The 17,742-nt window shown below is 46.0% G+C and overlaps 1 protein-coding gene across 1 annotated transcript in view, besides 1 other annotated feature; it reads left to right on the forward strand.

Moving 5' to 3' along the window:
* The window catches only part of DLGAP2 (DLG associated protein 2), a 970,849-nt gene that overhangs the window by 672,509 nt on the left and 280,598 nt on the right, over nt 1-17,742 (forward strand). The gene's annotated exons all lie outside the window — the stretch shown is intronic.
* Nucleotides 7,293-7,445: a silencer, noted in NCBI's record as "fragment chr8:1365595-1365747 (GRCh37/hg19 assembly coordinates)". NCBI's record gives its function as "represses an EF-1alpha promoter that drives an FKBP-Casp9 reporter gene in an ReSE screen in HepG2 liver carcinoma cells {active_cell/tissue: HepG2}" and the evidence as "EXISTENCE:reporter gene assay evidence [ECO:0000049][PMID:32094911]".

The raw sequence follows: 17,742 nt of genomic DNA on the forward strand, positions 1-17,742 counted from the left end.
GGGGAGGTTTCAAAACATGCCCTCGATCTGCTGAGGAGACTGCAAGCTTCGATCAGGGCCCAGATCATCTGGGAGTGGTTGGAATCTCACTGGCTTCAGAGCAGAATCTTTGCATTGTGAGGCACTGGCAATGAGGATACCAGTAATAGTGACACGGAAGGTAACATTCACGGGCATGGCTTCACGCGTGCGGCACCGTGGCCCAGGCAGCCTCACGGTGAGGAGCTCCCAGCAGAGCAGACGCCAGTCTGACCCCTTTGAAATACTCGCTGAGTGCTTCCTTTTTATTCTCTCCCCTCAGTTCACATAATTCTGTAGCAGTAACTTACTGTCATGTCCCACAGTTTCATGGGGTCACTAGAGGAAGGCTTCCTGCAGGGGTCCATCTGCAGGCTACTGCATTTCCGCACAGGTCGAGTTAAAGCAAAAGCATCAAGTCAGCTCCCTTCTCAGAATGAAATACAGTGAAATTATGGCTTAAAACTCCTGGGGGAGCTTGTAAGTATGAAGAGGCAGCAGCACATAAGTGTGTTTCACGCACGGCATCAGGGACACCCCATGGGCCTGCGTCAAACCCCACGTCCAGGTCAAGGGATCCAGAGATGCTGATTTGGAACCTGGTTTTCTTGTTCAGGAATTTTCCCAGATTATGGCCACCTTTCCCTGTGGGAATGTCCTTGCTTCACTCTGGAGCCATTTTTTTTTTTTTTTTTTTAAACTTCCTTGTTTTCAGTTGTCTTATCCAGGAAGGAAGGCTGAGCTCCTGGTGAACATGTAAATATCTTTACTTCTCTATTTAAGAGATTGTAATCATTATTTTGTTATAATTGCATAGTGTTGTACGTTACTTTGACTTGCCAGCTAAACTAATATTTCTGTGGGTTTATTTATTGAGTTTCAGTGCATAAAAGGTGACTAAAGTGTCACCGTGGAAAGCTACCTGCATACGCCAGTTGTTCCTTTCAGGTATTCAGTCGTGGTCTCTTGTTCTGGAAACCCAACATCTCCTAATTAAAATCGTCGTATGTTAATTGCTCTGCTTAACTACAGAGAAATTATTCATTGCAATAATTTGGTCTGAAAATGAATGTTTATATATATTGTGTCTTTTAACAATGTGCAATGCATAGCTACATTATATACTATAATAAGTCAAAGAAAACAGAGTTAGGAATAATCAAAACACCAAAAATCTTATATGGTTTTGAAGGCAGGGAATTATAATGTTGATACATATGGGTTTCCACATAAAAGAGCATAAAAGCACGAAGGACTTGACCCCTGAGCCAGGCGGTCCTAGCTGGCCTTTGGCCCCACTTGTGCCGAAGATATAACTCCATCCTGCTTGCCTCCGGCTCCCTAGCCTGGTGACATTGGCAGGAAGACGGAGTCATAAACTGTGCCGGTAGAGCCTTGGGCAGATTAAACGAGGTAACCGAAATGCGGAACCTGCAGGTGGTAGACTTGAGGGCCTCGTGCTCCTCCTGGCCTGGTTTATCCTCTCCTTTCCCTCCTGCTCTGAACCATCTGCTAAACTTCAAACAATGCCAAGAGTAAGCATTTCACAGGCTCACGAAGCTGCGTGTCTACTTCATTTAAGGGCTTCTAAAATTATTTCCGTGAACTTTCCAGAACTTGAATTTATGGAAAGCTGCGCATGAAGTCTCTCTCACTAAGGGTGAATTTTCCCTAATCAGCTCTGCCCTCATGAGCCGTCGTGTGGGCCCTGGTGGTGCGGCACACTCATCCAGGCCTTTGCAAGTGGGACACAGAGTGTGGGGGTGGATGCTTCCACGCCAGTATCCTCCACGTTCAGACACATGCTCCGAAAACCTACAGGCAACAGCAAGGGCTCTGGAAGACACAGATGCCATGGGCAGGTGATCTCCTGCTAGGGATGTCCTGCCATGGACCCTCACCTCCCCTGGAGTCACTGCCCTTTCTCCATTCCTGCCTCCAGGCCTCTCAAGCATGGGCTGGGCTTGCTGCATCTCCCTCCTCCTCACCTGTGCTCCCTTTTTAGCTCCAGTGCTATGGCTCCCACTGCCCTCTGCAGAGCCCCCAGCACTGGGACTTTTATGCTGAAGGCGAGGTCCCCCGCCAGCCTCCTGCTCTGAGCGCTAGACTCTGCAGCCTGCTTGTCTTTCATGCCTCCTCCTCCCTAGCCTTCTGAGGCTCCATTCTCTCCCTCAGCCTCCCTGTCTCCCGGGCTCTTTCTCCTCCATCTCTCTTACAGATGTGGAGGTTCCAAAAGGTTCTCAGAGTCTCACCCTCTTCCATATGATTTGTTACATTGCTAAATGCATGCATGCATCTGATCTCACGAATTCAGTGCTGAAATATCCCACTGCTGCTACTTGACCTGCAGAATAAATGTGTGGTTTCTCAGCTTGGCCTTGTGTATCCTTGGTAAGCCCCAGCCATTCCAGCTGTGAGCCCTCAGATAAGTTGCTTCACCCCTCTCTGCCTCAGTGTCCTCTTCTGAGAAATGGTGATAGCAATGGAGCCCACTGTGAAGATCACAGGCTCTTTGTGAAGGTCAGAGTCAGTGCATGTAATTATTGAGTCTTTCTTGCTGTTCTTGGGCACTTAGCAAGACCTCTACAGGCAAAAGGCAATTGCCAGCTGTGATGGCCATTCTGACTCTAACATACCCTCCCTATTCACAGCCCTCCCCAGCAGATGGCCTGTGTCTCCAGTGCTCAGGGCCACCTGCATTTCCTGAGATTACAGTGCCTCTCGCATGCTATTTCCTGTCTCCCTGTCTCTGACTTCCCTCCCTCCTGCTGGGAAAATTCCTTCAATACCCAGCTCAAGTGTCCCCTCCTCCGTAAAACAGACTTGCCCTTCCTGACCACAGTGTGGGAAAAATCCTTCAATACCCAGCTCAAGTGTCCCCTCCTCTGTGAAGAGGGCTTCCTCTTCTTGACCAGTGCCATTACCTCCTCAGTTCTCCTAGTGTCCCTCTGGAACTCACAGCTTTGTGTTCTATTTGCCCCTCTGTGTTTTCTACTGGACAGTGGCTCCTTCCAAGTCATGGCTTGTCTCCCTCCTCTCTGTAGCACCTTTGTATGTTTCAACACCTTTATTATTAGCTATTTATTTATAGTATTTTTAAAGTAAATAAAGGAAGAAGCATAAAGATAGAAGGATGGGAAGCAGAATGAATAAATGGATAGATATTTTCAAGAACAGAGGAAGAAAATGAATTACTATTGTAATATAAATGAACAACCTATTGAAGAAAGGAAAATATAGTTTCAATGCTCAAGAAGCATAAAAAAGACTTTCAAAGTAAGTCCAATTTAAGGGCAAGCAAAAGTCACTATGCATATTTTACTTAGATTCTCAAAAAGTTGTAGATTACTTTGCACTAAATCTGGCAAGTATAGAGTTATAATGGAAATGAAAAAATGTTTTGTCACAGAAAAAGTATTGCCTTAAAGTCCAGAAACATGAGATGTTCGAAGGCCCTTCTCTGGATGGAGGAATAATATGAAAGGGAATGAAAATCTCAGTAATCAATGATTGGAGTCACTCTTATCTTTGATAAATGGTCTTGAACTCAAAGGGCACCACCCAGTCTCCCAGTATGTAGCTCTTCTGCAGGTGCAATGACAGGATGATGGGGTTAGATTGTGCAGGTCTCACAAAGCTCCATCAGTGCACACACGCCTGCCAGGTGGGCCTTGGTGAGGCACAGCCTGAGAAGAGGCACGTGCAGATGCACAATGTCAATGGCATACTTATTAAATGGTGAATTCTTGTTTATCATTTTTTTTTTCAAAAAGAGCTCCAAACTCATCGTAAGCTGTTCACTGAAGACACCATCAACAGGGTGCTGTGATTGAAAGCAAATAGTCAAAAAGTGCAGCTCAGGGCACCGTGTGGACACTTAGTGACATGCCTAGGAATTCTGCTTTTTCCTCTGCTGTTAGTGTTGGGGAAAGGCATTCTTTCAAGGTCAGTAAAGTCAGAGTTGCAGGCTGTTGAGAAAGTGAAGTGTTCAGGGTTGGGGGGAGTTGTCTGTTGAGAGAAACTGACTTATATTCGTAAAGATGGAATCTGAGAAAGTGCTAAAGCTGGAAACTGGAATGGCAGGGGTGTTCTGTGGACTCTTGTGGGGTTGGCATGGCGCCCTGAGCATGTGATTGGAGGGTGTGTTTCACAGTTGTCAGAATGAGGCCAACAAGTCTGAAGGCTGTAGCCAGGGAGAGGCAGTGAGGACCTGCCAAGGGCAAGCCAGAAATGCAAGGTCCGGGGTGTGAGTCAGGTCGTGACCCATGGAGCCGGTCAAGTGTGGGAGGCAAGAGGCATGGGGACATGAGGGACTGACCAGGCCGGGGGTCCCAGTGCAGGGTCCACACCAGAGCAGAAGCGGAAGGTGGCGGGGAGGGACTGACCGGGCTGTGGGTCCCAGTGCAGAGTCCACACCAGAGTGGAGGCAGAACACGGCTGGGAGGGACTGAGCGGAGCTGCCCGGCAGCTGTCTCTGAGGATCCCGCCATCTACGCACGTCCAGGCGTCCTCTGCCCTCAGCGTGTCTTGCCTTTACAAGCATGGAACCTCCTGTTAAATAATCAGGTGTCTGGCTGGGCACGGTGGTGCATGTCTGTAATCCCAACACTTTCGGAGGCCAAGGTGGGCAGATCACCTGAGGTCAGGAGTTTGAGACCAGCCTGGCCAACATGGCAAAACCCCATGTCTACTAAAAGTACAAAAATTAGCCAGGCGTGGTGGCAGGCATCTGTAATCCCAGCTGCTTGGGAGGCTGAGGCAGGGGAATCACTTGAACCTGGGAGGTGGAGGTTTCAGTGAGCTGAGGTCATGCCCCTGCACTCGAGCCTGGGCAACAGAGCAAGACTCCGTCTCAAAAGAAAAAAAAAGAAGAAAAAAAATCAAGCATTTTGATCCCTGTATTATACTTGTCCAGCCTTTGGCTGTGGTGCACATGCATACATACGTGTACACACATGTGCACACATGCATACAAACAGGTACACACATGCGTACAAACAGGCAACTCTATTCTGCCAACCTGTGGGCTGTGTCTATCTTTAATCTGTGAACTTGACTCCAGGCAGCCCTAAACTGGTTTTAGGATACAAAACTTTCACTTTTAATTATTTTCTTATGACTTTCTCTAGTGCGTCTTTCTGATTTAAAGGCTAATTTTTTTTTCAACTTTTATTTTAGATCCGGGGGTACGTTGGCAAGTTTGTTACATGGATTTATTTCATGACACTGAAGTTTGAGGTGCAAATGATCCCATCACCCAGACACTGAGCACAGCACCCAATGGGCAGTGTTTCTTCCCCAGCCCCTTTTTCCCTCCCCCTCTAGTAGCCCTGGTGTCTGCTGTTCGCACCTTTATGTCCACGTGTGCCCTATGTTTAGCCTCCACTTATAAGTGAGAACACGTGGTGTCTGGCTTTCTGTTCCTGTGGTAATTCACTTGGGACTAAGGCCCCCACCTGCATCCGTGTTGCTGCAGAGGACGTGATTCCATTCTCTCTTACGGCTGCATAGAATTTCGTGGTGTATAGGTAGCACTGTCTCTTTATCTCATCCACCTTTGATGGGCACCTGGGTTGCTTCCATGTTTTTGCTATTGCGAACCTTGTGAACCATGCTGCAGTGAACATACATGTGTCAGTGTCTTTTTGGTAGAATGATTTATTTTCCTTTGGGTATATACCCAGTCATGGGATTGCTGATTTAAGTTCTTTGAGAAATCTTCAAGCTGCTTTCCATAGTGGCTGAGCTAATTTACAATCCCACAAACAGGGTAGAAACTCCTTGAGGGGTCATTTCATGACTAAAAGAATATTTTTTAACATAAATTGGGGGAGGGTGATGGGTGACAAAACTGACTACCCCTGCCAATGGGAAGCAGGTGGAAAATGCAAAATTATTTGACAGACTTAAAGATGTTATTAGATGACAAAAACATAGAGGACCCTGCATAATATCTGCTTGAGGTGCTAAAGAGACTTTTCAAAGTATTTTCAGTGCTCAGTTTGGACGTGAAACCCATCCTGTCCCCAGACGATGCCTGGTTACCAGCGTCAATACAGAGTGGCGACCAGATGATTCCAGCGTCCATACAGAGTGGCGACCAGCCCGGCCTGGCGGGGGATTGTAGGTTCCCGTCACGACGGCCATGGAAACCAGCTTCCCGTGGTCAGCCCAGGTGTCCGCCTTCGTATTTCAGACGTGCCTGGTCACTTGAGGGAGGTTCAAACCTCTGCAGTGCAGCGATACTACAGTTTCTGAGGCAAATTAAACTTTTCCATAAATGTGTCTGATCCTCAGAACAGTCCATCAGGCGGAGAATCCGATTTTGCTGCTCCTGTTTCCTAAGTGAGGACATGGAGTTCTAGCCCCGCTGAATGAACCACCCGAGGCCTGAACCAGAACCCCTCTGCCTCCACGGCCGCCCCTTCTTTGAAAACTTACCATGAAAACGAACAGTTTTTTGTCACCTCAACATAGAAATATCAACATGGAAACTCTGTTTCTGTGTTGACATTTCAATCCAAAGTGTCTATCAGGTCACTTAATAAGTAAAACAAGGAATCAAAAACCAGGTAGTAAGAAAAGGAATCGGACGTGTTGGCTGCTTAAGAGGAGAGCCTGGGGGCGGAATGTGGCTCGCGAGCACCCGTGCCGGCCTCCTTTTCTGTCTCTCCTCAGACATTTGTTGCAAAGCGTGAGCATAATCCGTTCTCTCCCTAAAACCTGTTCGTGTGAAAGCTTCTCAGACTTGCAAAGAATGCGCTTTTGTTCCCGGAAACAGATTTGCTTCGTGAGGAGGCCCAGCTCAGTGCGGCTGTGGCATTGAGACTCAGAGTCCAGGGCTCAGGGGTCCCCGTCACTCCTCCGAGCAGCCGTCAGCGGTCCCGCCCCACACTGTCCCCGGCGGGTTCAGCAGGAGAAAGGGCGGGGGTGGGGGGATGGGGGGGTGGGGGGGAGACCCCCGTTCATTCATTTAGCGTCTGAGGCGGGGGAGACTCTGAGTGAAGGGGAAGCCCCCGTTCATTTAGTGTCTGAGGCGGGGGAGACTCTGAGTGAGGGGAGACCAGCGTCCGTTTGGCGTCTGAGGTGGGGAGACCGGCATTCATTTAGCGTCTGAGGCGGGAGGAGAGACCGGCGTTCATTTAGCGTCTGCGGGGTGCCCAGGTTCGACAGCATCTCACCGCATGTTCATAGAAGCCCTTGAAGCTAGCAGCACTGTCACTGCTTTTATCCTGATCAGGACACGGAGCCTCTGATTGTTGAAGCAAACCTTGTTTTTCTCTGACTTCAGCTCTTTGTGTTCTCTTACTGTGAAGGTTAATGTGGTAACAGTTTCCACGGGGCTCACCAGGGCAGGCATAGTACATAGCACAGGTGTGAATGCAATGGGGATCCGAAGCCCAGAACAGGGGAGGAGAGGAGAAAATGCGGACAGATAAATAGGAGGCTCAGAAGGACTTCACTGCGTGGCCGCCTCCAGGGGGGCACGGGGAGCCCCACTCCTGCCTCACTCCGCGAGGCTCCAGGGGGGCACAGGGGGCCCCACTCCTGCCTCACTCGGCGAGGCTCCAGACACAGAAGCCCACGGAGACCTATGAACGGACCAGAGGGTCCTGGAATGATTTCAGAGAAAGTGATCAATGTCTCCACAAATGCAGCTAATGCATTTGAAGAATTCGATTATTACCTCATCTTTATTGGCGGGAATTCAGAGTTCACAACACAAAAGTGCAGTTCCAGGAGCCTTTTGCTCTGATAAAATATTACATTTTCAAAATAGCTACCACTGACATTCGTCTGTCGTGAAAAAAAAAGAATTAAATATCTGAAATCAGCACGTTTGGAGAATGGGCTCTACAGTCCCGTTCTGGACAGTGGAAGTGGGGGATTAGATGCCTGCAAGAATATTGTTATCTCATTAGCAAAAATAAATGTAACTCCTGTCCCTCCACCAAATAAAAGATCTCCAGCCATACAGTGTGGCCTCATGCACAGCATTCTCCTTCCGAACCATTTTCAAAGACCTTGATCTTGGGTGGCCCAAAGAATGATGATGTAACTGTCTCTACTACTGAACATTTAAGAAATGGATATTGTATGTGTAATAACTAAGTCATTTATTAAATAGTATGGTCTAAAAATTAAACAGCTTCACTTTAGATGGCCTCAAACATGAAAATATTCAACTTTAGATATTTATATTCAGTATCCTCAAGTCATTAAAAAAGTATAGCTAATTAATGGATTTGATTCTGGCATGTTTTTAAAAAGATGATTATTTCTGTAGTCGCTTAGCCTGAAATTATAGCCATCGTTAACTTCTTTCTCTCTTTTAACCCCAAACCCACGATTTATGTCTCTACTTTCACAGTCAAAATGGAAGCTTCACCTGGCTGCCAGTGCTCTCTCTGCATTCACACGACACTCCACTCCGACGCCAAATAAAAGGGAAAAAAGTGTTTCCTTCTCGACACCAAATGCAAGAAAAATTCCATTTTTTTTTCTTTGCTACACTCACGCCAATACTTCTGGCCACCAAATGTGTGTATATTTTCCCATGCACCGTTTCTCCCACTACCAGGACACCAACTGGGCGTCCTCTAATTCATTGCTGTCCTGACCCTGACCACCTGCACTTCCCTCAGACCCCGCAGGTTAAGGACGCAGCCCCGCAAGACCAGGGCCAATCCCAAGTCTGGCTTCTGGCCCGCTGGCTAGAGATCATGGGTTCCCATGGCTCTACCTCCAGTTCAGTGATTTGCTTGAATGGCTCACAGAACTCGGGGAAACACTTTACTTGTGTTTACCCACACTATGTAAATGCTCCCACTCAGGCACAGCCGAACGAAGGGGCACATGGGGCGAGGCAGAGGCCAGGGCCATGTGGACTCTCCGTGCCCTCTCTGGGCACCGCCTCCCTGTGTTCAGCCCTCTGCAAGCACTCCAAAACCCTTGGTAGGTTTTGTTTTTCCATTTTAAATTTGTTATTTTTAGTTGACTCATAATAATTGTACATGTTTGTGGGATACTGTGTTACACTCTGATGCGTGCGTGTGTGTGTGTGTGTGTGTGTGTGTGTAGGTTTTGTTTTCCTTTTATAAATGGTTATTTTTGGTTGACTCACAGTAATTGTACATATTTGTGGGATACTATGTTACACTCTGATACGTGTGTGTGTGTGTGTGTGTGTGTGTGTGTAGGTTTTGTTTTCCTTTTATAAATGGTTATTTTTGGTTGACTCACAGTAATTGTACATATTTGTGGGATACTGTGTTACACTCTGATACGTGTGTGTGTGTGTGTGTGTGTGTGTGTGTGTGTAGGTTTTGTTTTCATTTTATAAATGGTTATTTTTGGTTGACTGATAGTAATTGTACATATCTGTGGATCTTGTGTTACATGTTGATACGTGTACATAATGTATAAGGTGAGGTGTATGAACACATGCTCCAGTATCCAGCATCGCATCACTAATCCCCAGGGAAGTGCAAATCAAAACCACACTGAGATACTGTCTCACTCCAGTTAGAATGGCGGTTACCAGAAAGACCAAAAGTAACAGTTCTAGCAAGGATGTGGAGAAGGGAATTCTTATAATGTTGGTGAGAATATAAATTAGTCTAGCCACTAAGGAAAACAGCATGGAGGTTCCTCAAAAAACTAAGCCACCATATGAGCCAGCAATCCCACTACTGAGTGTACAGCCAAAAGAAATGGTATCAGAGCTGCACCATTCACAATAGCCAGGAGATGGAATCGACCTGAGTGTCCATCAACAGAAGAATGGAGAAAGAACATGTGAAATGGGGTAGGTAGACACAGTGGACTACAGTTCAGCTGTAAAAAGAATGAAATCCTTAGGGTTTTTTATGTAGACTTTGTTACATAAGCACAGTGAATTAAGTCACTGGCCATCCCTGATCCAGCTAACCTTCAGTCCCTTTTCCCTTCCTGGAGGTCTGGGGTCGGGAGGGGCTGGAAGTTCCAATCCTCTAATCACAAGGCTAGTTCCCTGAGGACTGCCTTATCCTGAGGCTCTCCAGGGTCCAGCTTGAGTCTCTGCATCAGCGTAAACTCAGGTGTGGTTGAAGGGCTGGCTGGGAATGACTAAGGACTGTCCTTTCAACCTTTATTGCCCTTATTACTTAGGAAACCATGGGGTTTTAGGAGCTCTGAGCAAGAAGTCGCTCTATCACAACAGTGTTCAGATAAATACACGTAAATGAAGCCTATTTCTGGCCACCTCACTTCTGCGATTCTCTCTTCCACTCTACGCTGGTGTCCCAGGTCATCTCAGCACTTTGAGTTTTTTCTAATTCCAATTCATCCTATAGCAAATTTCCTAAACTACAACTCTATGCATGTCACTATCCTACTAAAGCATGTTTAAGCTATCCACAGTATACCTGAATATATTTAAAAATATGATCTTCTATGTTGAGCATCAATGTCAAAGCCTGTGGGTCAAGGTTTCACACTGTCAGGACCCAATTTGTGCCTCCGACTGCATTCCCTCTCGCCAAAATGCCCTCCACTCCAACCCAGTAAAGCCACTGCTGTTTCCCAAATCTATCACATAACTCAGCTCCCTGGCTCGGTGGTAATCTTGTTAACTTGGCCCTCCCACAGTGACCTTGATTAAAATCCCATAATCATCCAGATTTAGACCTATTGGTGCCATTTCAGAGGTGCTTCCCCATCTGCGCAGTCCTGTTTGGTGTCTTCGTTGCCTGGGCTGCAGGTGTGGCAAGGGTCTTTCTTTCTTGCATTTTAATCATTCGATTGGCTGTTTTGAGGCTGTACTGAATGTTGCTTCCCAAAGAGCGGGGTCCTCTCTCATGGGCTGTAGCTCCTCTCAGGAGGATGCAAGTTGTGTTATAGACTTCCCAACTCAGAATAATACACTGGAGAAAATTTCAATCTCTCCAACAAGTCACTAGTAGAAAATAGTAAAATAACTTATCCAAAGTATGTTTTTCAGACCTTTGAATTTTGTGGTTCATAATAAACAGGAAGCCGAGCTCATTTTTCCTGGAACATAGCTCTAACATCTGAGTGTTTCATGTTGTGTGTGTGAGAGCTGCTGTAATCTGTGAACACAGCCTGTCCTTTGCTCTTCTTTGATTTTTCTATCCAGTGCTTTTTGAACTGAAAAGCTTGTGTATAGGCCTTGCATACATTAGAATCTTCCAGCTGTGTTTGAGTGAAGTTGTGACTGCAGTTCATCAATCAACATCCCATTCTGAGGCTCTCAGAATAATAACACCCACACAAGAGACATGGAATTAATATACAGGCCAACACAATCTGAAAATGCATAGAATCACTTTCATGCTACGTACTCAGCCTTTCTATAATACCACAGTATTCCATGGGGTGGGGGGAATTTAGTTATTTCATTAAAGTTATGAATATTATGAAAGTTATATTTTCATATATTGAAGAGAGTAACGATTGCAAAAGATGAAAATAGAGATTAGTGATGATCAAGAAGCAAGCACATATGTTTGGCTATAACAAAATTCATAAGGCTAGGCACAGTGGCTCACGCCTGTAATCCCAGCACTTTGGGAGGCTGAGGTGGGTGGATCACGAGGTCAGCAGTTCGAGACCAGCCTGGCCAACATGGTGAAACCCCGTCTCTACTATAAATACAAAAATTAGCCAGGTATGGTGGCACATGCCTGTAATCCCAGCTACTCAAGAGGCTCTGAGGCAGGAGAATCACTTGAACCCGGGAGGTGGAGGTTGCAGTGAGCCGTGATCATGCCATTGCACTCTAGCCTGGGCGACAAAGTGAGACTCCATCTCAAAAAAAAGAAAAAAGAAAAAAGAGAAAAAGTGGCGGGTAAAACAGTTAGCAATCATAATAGCTGATATTTGCTGAGCATCTAACACACGCTAGGCACCGAGGGCGAGGCTGCGTTTGTTACTCCATGGAATCTCAGAGCACCTGGACAAGGTGTGTAGGACAGCTACCCCGTTTCACGGACCACATGGCTGAGTCGCGAGGATGTTTCCTAATGTCTTATGGCCGCTAGGAGAGAAAGACACAGACCCTCCTGAAGGGTATTTTTTTAGGAGTTATGGAATATGGAAAAGATACCAGAAGACCAGGGATAGAAAAATGTCATTCTAGTTTTCACAATAGGGAAGAAGTGCATTCCAGCAATTAATTATGTACCTGTGAAATTTCCGTCCACTGCAAGCGAAGTTACACAACTCAAGTCTTAATGACACGCTTGTGTATATGTAGGGAGAAAAGCGAAGATGGCCGTGACTGAGCGAGGATCACTAAGAGCAAGTGATGCCAGGGAAACCTCTCCTGTCTTTAGAGACTTAATGTAAATCTGCGTCTTGATCCCATGAAGGCAGAAGAGTGTTTGGAAAAGGCTTTCTTTGACATTAAAAAAAAAAAAAAAAGGTGTGGGTGGAACAGACAGGGTGGATGCATCTTGAGAAGCCGACTCACGGTTATCAGCAAAGGCTGGAGGGCACGGCTGGTGTGTGTTCCCTGCCCACCAGGGGGTGGTACACAGCAGGTGCTCGTTAAGTGCTCAGGGAACTCAACATGCTGAGACCAGCCAGGATTGGGGGTGGGGGAATGTGTCCTTTCGTTAGCAGGGGAAAGGCTGAGGGCATGGGAGTGTTTCATCCACAAGCAGTCTTCAAATGTGAGAGCTGCTCAGGGCAGAGTTGGATGCTGTGCTGTTCCAGAATCAAGCGGTGTGAGGCCTGAGGAAGCTCCAGCTCCTTCCTCACTTCACCCTAGGCCAACTCTGTCCAGGGGGCCCCTTAGCCTGGGGAGGGGATCCGTGCAGGTGGCCTGGTATATGTGACTGTGGCTACATCTTGAGCACATCAGGATACATGGTGCTCATCATAGTGACATCAAAACAAAGGTGAAAATGTTCAGACTGCCACAACAGTGTAGACAAGTGGAAATCTTTTAGGGGAAATAATATGTTTTTAAAATAATGAATGAACCACAACAGCTAAAGCCTAGGTGGCAAGTTAATATAATATAGTTTTGAATTCAACCAGCAGAGATTGAGTTTTTTTAATGTAAACACAGGTGTGTAGAGCTCAGAACTCTACTTAGTCACAGCTCTTATCACTCCCTGACCCCAGGCCTGCTCAGTCCATGGGACAGACAGGTTCCCCCAGGCACCCGGGCAGCTCAGGTGGAGGCAGATCCCAGGACCACCCCAGGTTCTGTCTCTGGGAGGGGTCTGGACTGGAGTTTGCATTTCCCACCACATCCCATAGCCCACTTTGTGCTCCGCGAGGTCTGATGACCACTGCCCTGCCATCTCCATACCGCTCCATGCACTTCTGGCACCAGCTTGTCAAGGCATCAGCGCTTTCAGGCCTAGGCTTAATACTCCTGAAGTGTTGACTGTGAGTGGCTTTGAAAAGCACGACTTCCAGGATGAGGGAACACGATGTTGGGAGCAGAGGCTGCTGGGACCTGCTGCTCCCTTATTGAACTCTTGGAGGAATTGCTCTGTGCGTTGAGAGCCTGGCATGTGTAGCTGCTAACACCATTGACAGAGTGTGCAAGAGCACTCCAAGGGAGAGAGGCGGGTGGGGAAGACAGCCAGGGCTAGTGGCAGGAGCAACGGGCCCATGCACTTGCAAGCTTCTAGTTGTTACAGGAGAAATTCGAGCAGGTTAATCCCTCTTTCAAATGACACTTGCACGTCTACAGCCATTCCCTGCATGGAAACATCAAGAAAGCAAAAATATCCCACGTTCAGAAGAACCCAAATGAGGAAGCAGTGCTGAAAAATAGATGTACTCTTGTGATCAACTCACATGACTGGAATGAATTCTGCAAAAATAGCAGCCGGATTATTCAAAGCTCGTATCAGGCAGCCAGTTGGATGGAGGTTCTCCTCCTGTGTGAGATACTCTCCCATGGCACTCAGAGGACACCAGCATGAAGGTCCTTGTGAACTAAAGCGGGCTCCACATGGGTGAAGGAACACAGAATGAGCCTGCAGCTATTTCTCTCTTTCACGCAAGTTGAGAGACCTCTAGAAATTCAGCTAGTCTTAAGCTGATGGTTTGGCATACGTAAGAAAGTCACAGCAAAAGGGGGTCCCTTCTGTAGTCTGCATCTAACTCTTCAATCTAAAGACAACAGAGACTTATTAAGACGTGCGTATCAAGGGCCCACTATGAGCCAAGCCCCTTGTTACACATTTTTCTCATTTTTCTTTGGCCAGAGCATACTGATATTGGCATATGGGGTGGTTGTGATTTCCAAATGAAATAATAAAATGAAAATGTTCAATTGTGTATAGCTGCCCAATGGAATGTTACCCTGTCATAGAAAGGAAGGAAATTCTACACATCCTACGACTTGGGTGAACCCTGAGGACACTATGCTGAGTGAAATAAGCCATCACAAAAGGACAAGGACGGTGTGATTACCCTAACATGTGGCACTTGGAGGAGTCAGATGCACAGACAGAAGGCCGGATAGGACAAGGATGGTGTGATCCCCTTACACACAGCACCTGGAGGAGTCAGATGCACAGACAGAAGGCCGGATAGGACAAGGATGGTGTGATCCCCTTACACGCAGCACCTGGAGAAGTCAGATGCACAGACAGAAGGCCGAATAGGACAAGGACAGTATGATCCCCTTATACGCAGCACCTGGAGGAGTTGGATACACAGACAGGTCAGAGGGAGGCTGCCAGCAGCTGGGGAGGGAGAATGAGGAGGGCTGTTTAATGGGGCAGAGCTTCAGTTTGGGAAGATCGAGAAGTTCTGGAGATATTGGCAGTGATGGCTGCACAACAATGAGAAAGTGCTTAATGCCACTGAAATAGACAAAAATGCCCATGATGGTGAATCTTATGTGTAGCTGATCTCAATTTAAACATTTAAAAAATTTTTTGCACTTAGTTTTTAGTAAACTTGTATAGTATTTTGCCAACTAAGGTAGTTTTTAAAATTATATTTCAGCACTGGGTGATATAAGGATTTTTAAATTTATAAATTATGCCTAACTCCATAGCCTCAGTCATGATAACATTATGAATTCAATCTTTTAACTCGTTTCAATGATAGTGAAAATATCTGTCTGTATTTTAAAGAATATAAAAGACTTAGCCATGCCCATGGTAAATGGGGGGTTCATAAAAGCATGTGCTTGATCTGTCAGAAGGGGACCTGGTGTTAACATCTAGCATCTTCCCCGGGAGGCCAGCCAGGTACAACATTAGCTTTGCTACTCGACAGCATCGCCCATGGTACCAGGGACCCATCAGGAACCTGGTACCTGTTTAAGAAAGAAAGAAGTGTCTGATGGGAACACTGTGCTTGGGTCTTCCCTGAGGACAGACATGGACAGCTGAGTGCATCCCTGCAGGGGCCCCAGAAGGCGTTCCTCTGGATCCCTTGGAGCAGATGTGGACCTCTCCAGATCCCGGACAGCCTGGGCGCATGATCCACATGGTCTTCCACAAGCCTAGAGCTGTCATGTAAACCCCTGAGACTGCCCTGATGGCAAGATGAGGCTCCTGTCCTGTAGGGAACTGGCCCCTGTGGGCTCATGAACCAAGATAAGGACGTCTGTGCACCATTAAAAAAATAAACCCACAGCAAAGCCGCTGCAGGATGAGCCCAGGGGATGTCAGGGCCCTAGACCGAGAAACAGAGACAGCCAGAAGTTCAGTTCAGTGCCTGAGGCAGGGAATGCGGACTGGAGCTTGGTGTCTGAAAGCAGGGAAGAAAGGAGACTGGGGAAAAGCAAAATAGCCAGGACCTGATGTAGGGCTTATGGAAACCAGGTGGCTGGAGGACAGCACTGAGCAGAACATGCTACACCTGCAAGGTGAATGCGTGGGTGTGGGGTCCTCAGCATGAGAATGAGACCAAACTCTGAACCAAGGGAGAGCATCCCCTAAGGCCGGGAGAAAGCGTCAGGGTAGGGCAAGAGGAGGAAGAAACCGGCTCAGCTGCTGGAGAAACTCACCTCAAGGCCACACATGCAGCAGGACAACTGTGAACTGACTTTGTCCACCCAATACCCACATCAGCAAATTCAAAATGATGAGAACAGAGGCAGATGTAAGTTAAGAACAGATGTCTATGAAAAACGAGGAGACTAAGGAATTTGGAGACCTAAAATTGGGAAGGACCGACTCCAGACTAGATCTGCTCAAAGTCCATCTGGAGGGAAATGCTGAGTTGCCCACGAGAACATGGCCAAGGAATACAAACAAATGAACAGCATGAAGCAGGAGCCCAGAGCTAGGGAGGAAAGATGTAGAGACTCCAACAAGTTAGCAGAATTCCAGAAGAAAAGATCCCAGAGGTCGACAGAAAAGTTGTATCCAGGGAACAGTGGCTGGGAATTGACCAGGATAACATCACCCATCCAGACTGAAAGGGTTCTGCTGTTGCCTGGAAGGAAAAATCCCCAACCTGGACAGATGATGTGAAACTCAAGACCATGCATGACTAAGAGAAACTCTTATTAACCTCACCCAGAAAGATAGGAATCTACAAAGGAGCAAGGATTAGACCAACAATAGATTCTTCGTTAGTAAAAACATATGCAAGAAGATGGTCAAATTATGGCTTCCACGTCTTGAAGAAAAATAAAATTCCCACCTAAAATCTCATGTCTAAGTAAATTAGTCGTAAAAAAAAATTAGTGTCAGATATACAAAAACTCAACCTTCTATTCTACCTGAAAGATTACTCCAATGCATATGAAAGGGGAAAAAAATAACAACAGAAGATACAGGATACAAGAAACAGCAGTGAACAGAGAGATCAATAAAAAATATTGTGTCTTATTGACAATTAAAAACTATGAGTGCTTATTTGAATAATTTAAAGAAGAGGCTTCAATAGGTAAAAGGTGTTAAGATCTTTATTTTAATAAACTTTAGTTAAGGCAAAATACAAAATAAAAGATAAGAAACACTACATAGGTTAAAAATCCAATTAATCAGGAGCATAATAAGTATGAACTAATAAGCTTTTTACAACTAGCATTAAATTTCATAAAATAAAAAGGAGAAATTGACAAACCTACAATTATAGATTTCAGTATATTTTCTCAGAAAAGGAATTGCTCAAGCAGACAAATTAGTGAGGATATAGATGATTTGAACAACACAACGACAAATGTAATATGATAAATATGTATTACCAAGTGTAGAATAAACACTCTTTTTAAGCATAACCCAAAGAGTAACAAAATCAATTACAAACATTTTAAAGAATAAATATGATGTGGCTACTCCCTCATAATGTAATGCAGTTGAGTTAGAAATAATATAAACAAACATCCTCATATACTTGAAAATAATCAAATGTCAACAGAAAGCACTTGATATGGTTTGGCTGTGTCCCTACCCAAATCTCATCTTGAATTGTAACTCCCACAATCCCCACATGTCATGGAAAGAGCATGTTGGGAGGTGATTGAATTTTGGGGGTGGGTCTTTCCTGCTCTGTTGTCTTGATAGTGAATGAGTCTCATGAGATCTGATGGTTTTAAAAATGGGAGTTTCCCTGTACAAGCTCTCTTCTCTTGTCTGCTGCCATGTGAGACATGCCCTTCATCTCCCACCATGATTGTGAGGCCTCCCCAGCTACATGGAACCGTAAGTCCAATAAGTCTCTTTCTTTTGTAAATTGCCCAGTCTTGGGTATGTCTTTATCAGCAGCATGAAAATTGACCAATACAGTACT

This window comes from Homo sapiens, chromosome 8 (genome assembly GCF_000001405.40).
Source record: "Homo sapiens chromosome 8, GRCh38.p14 Primary Assembly".
NCBI classification, from domain to species: domain Eukaryota; kingdom Metazoa; phylum Chordata; class Mammalia; order Primates; family Hominidae; genus Homo; species Homo sapiens.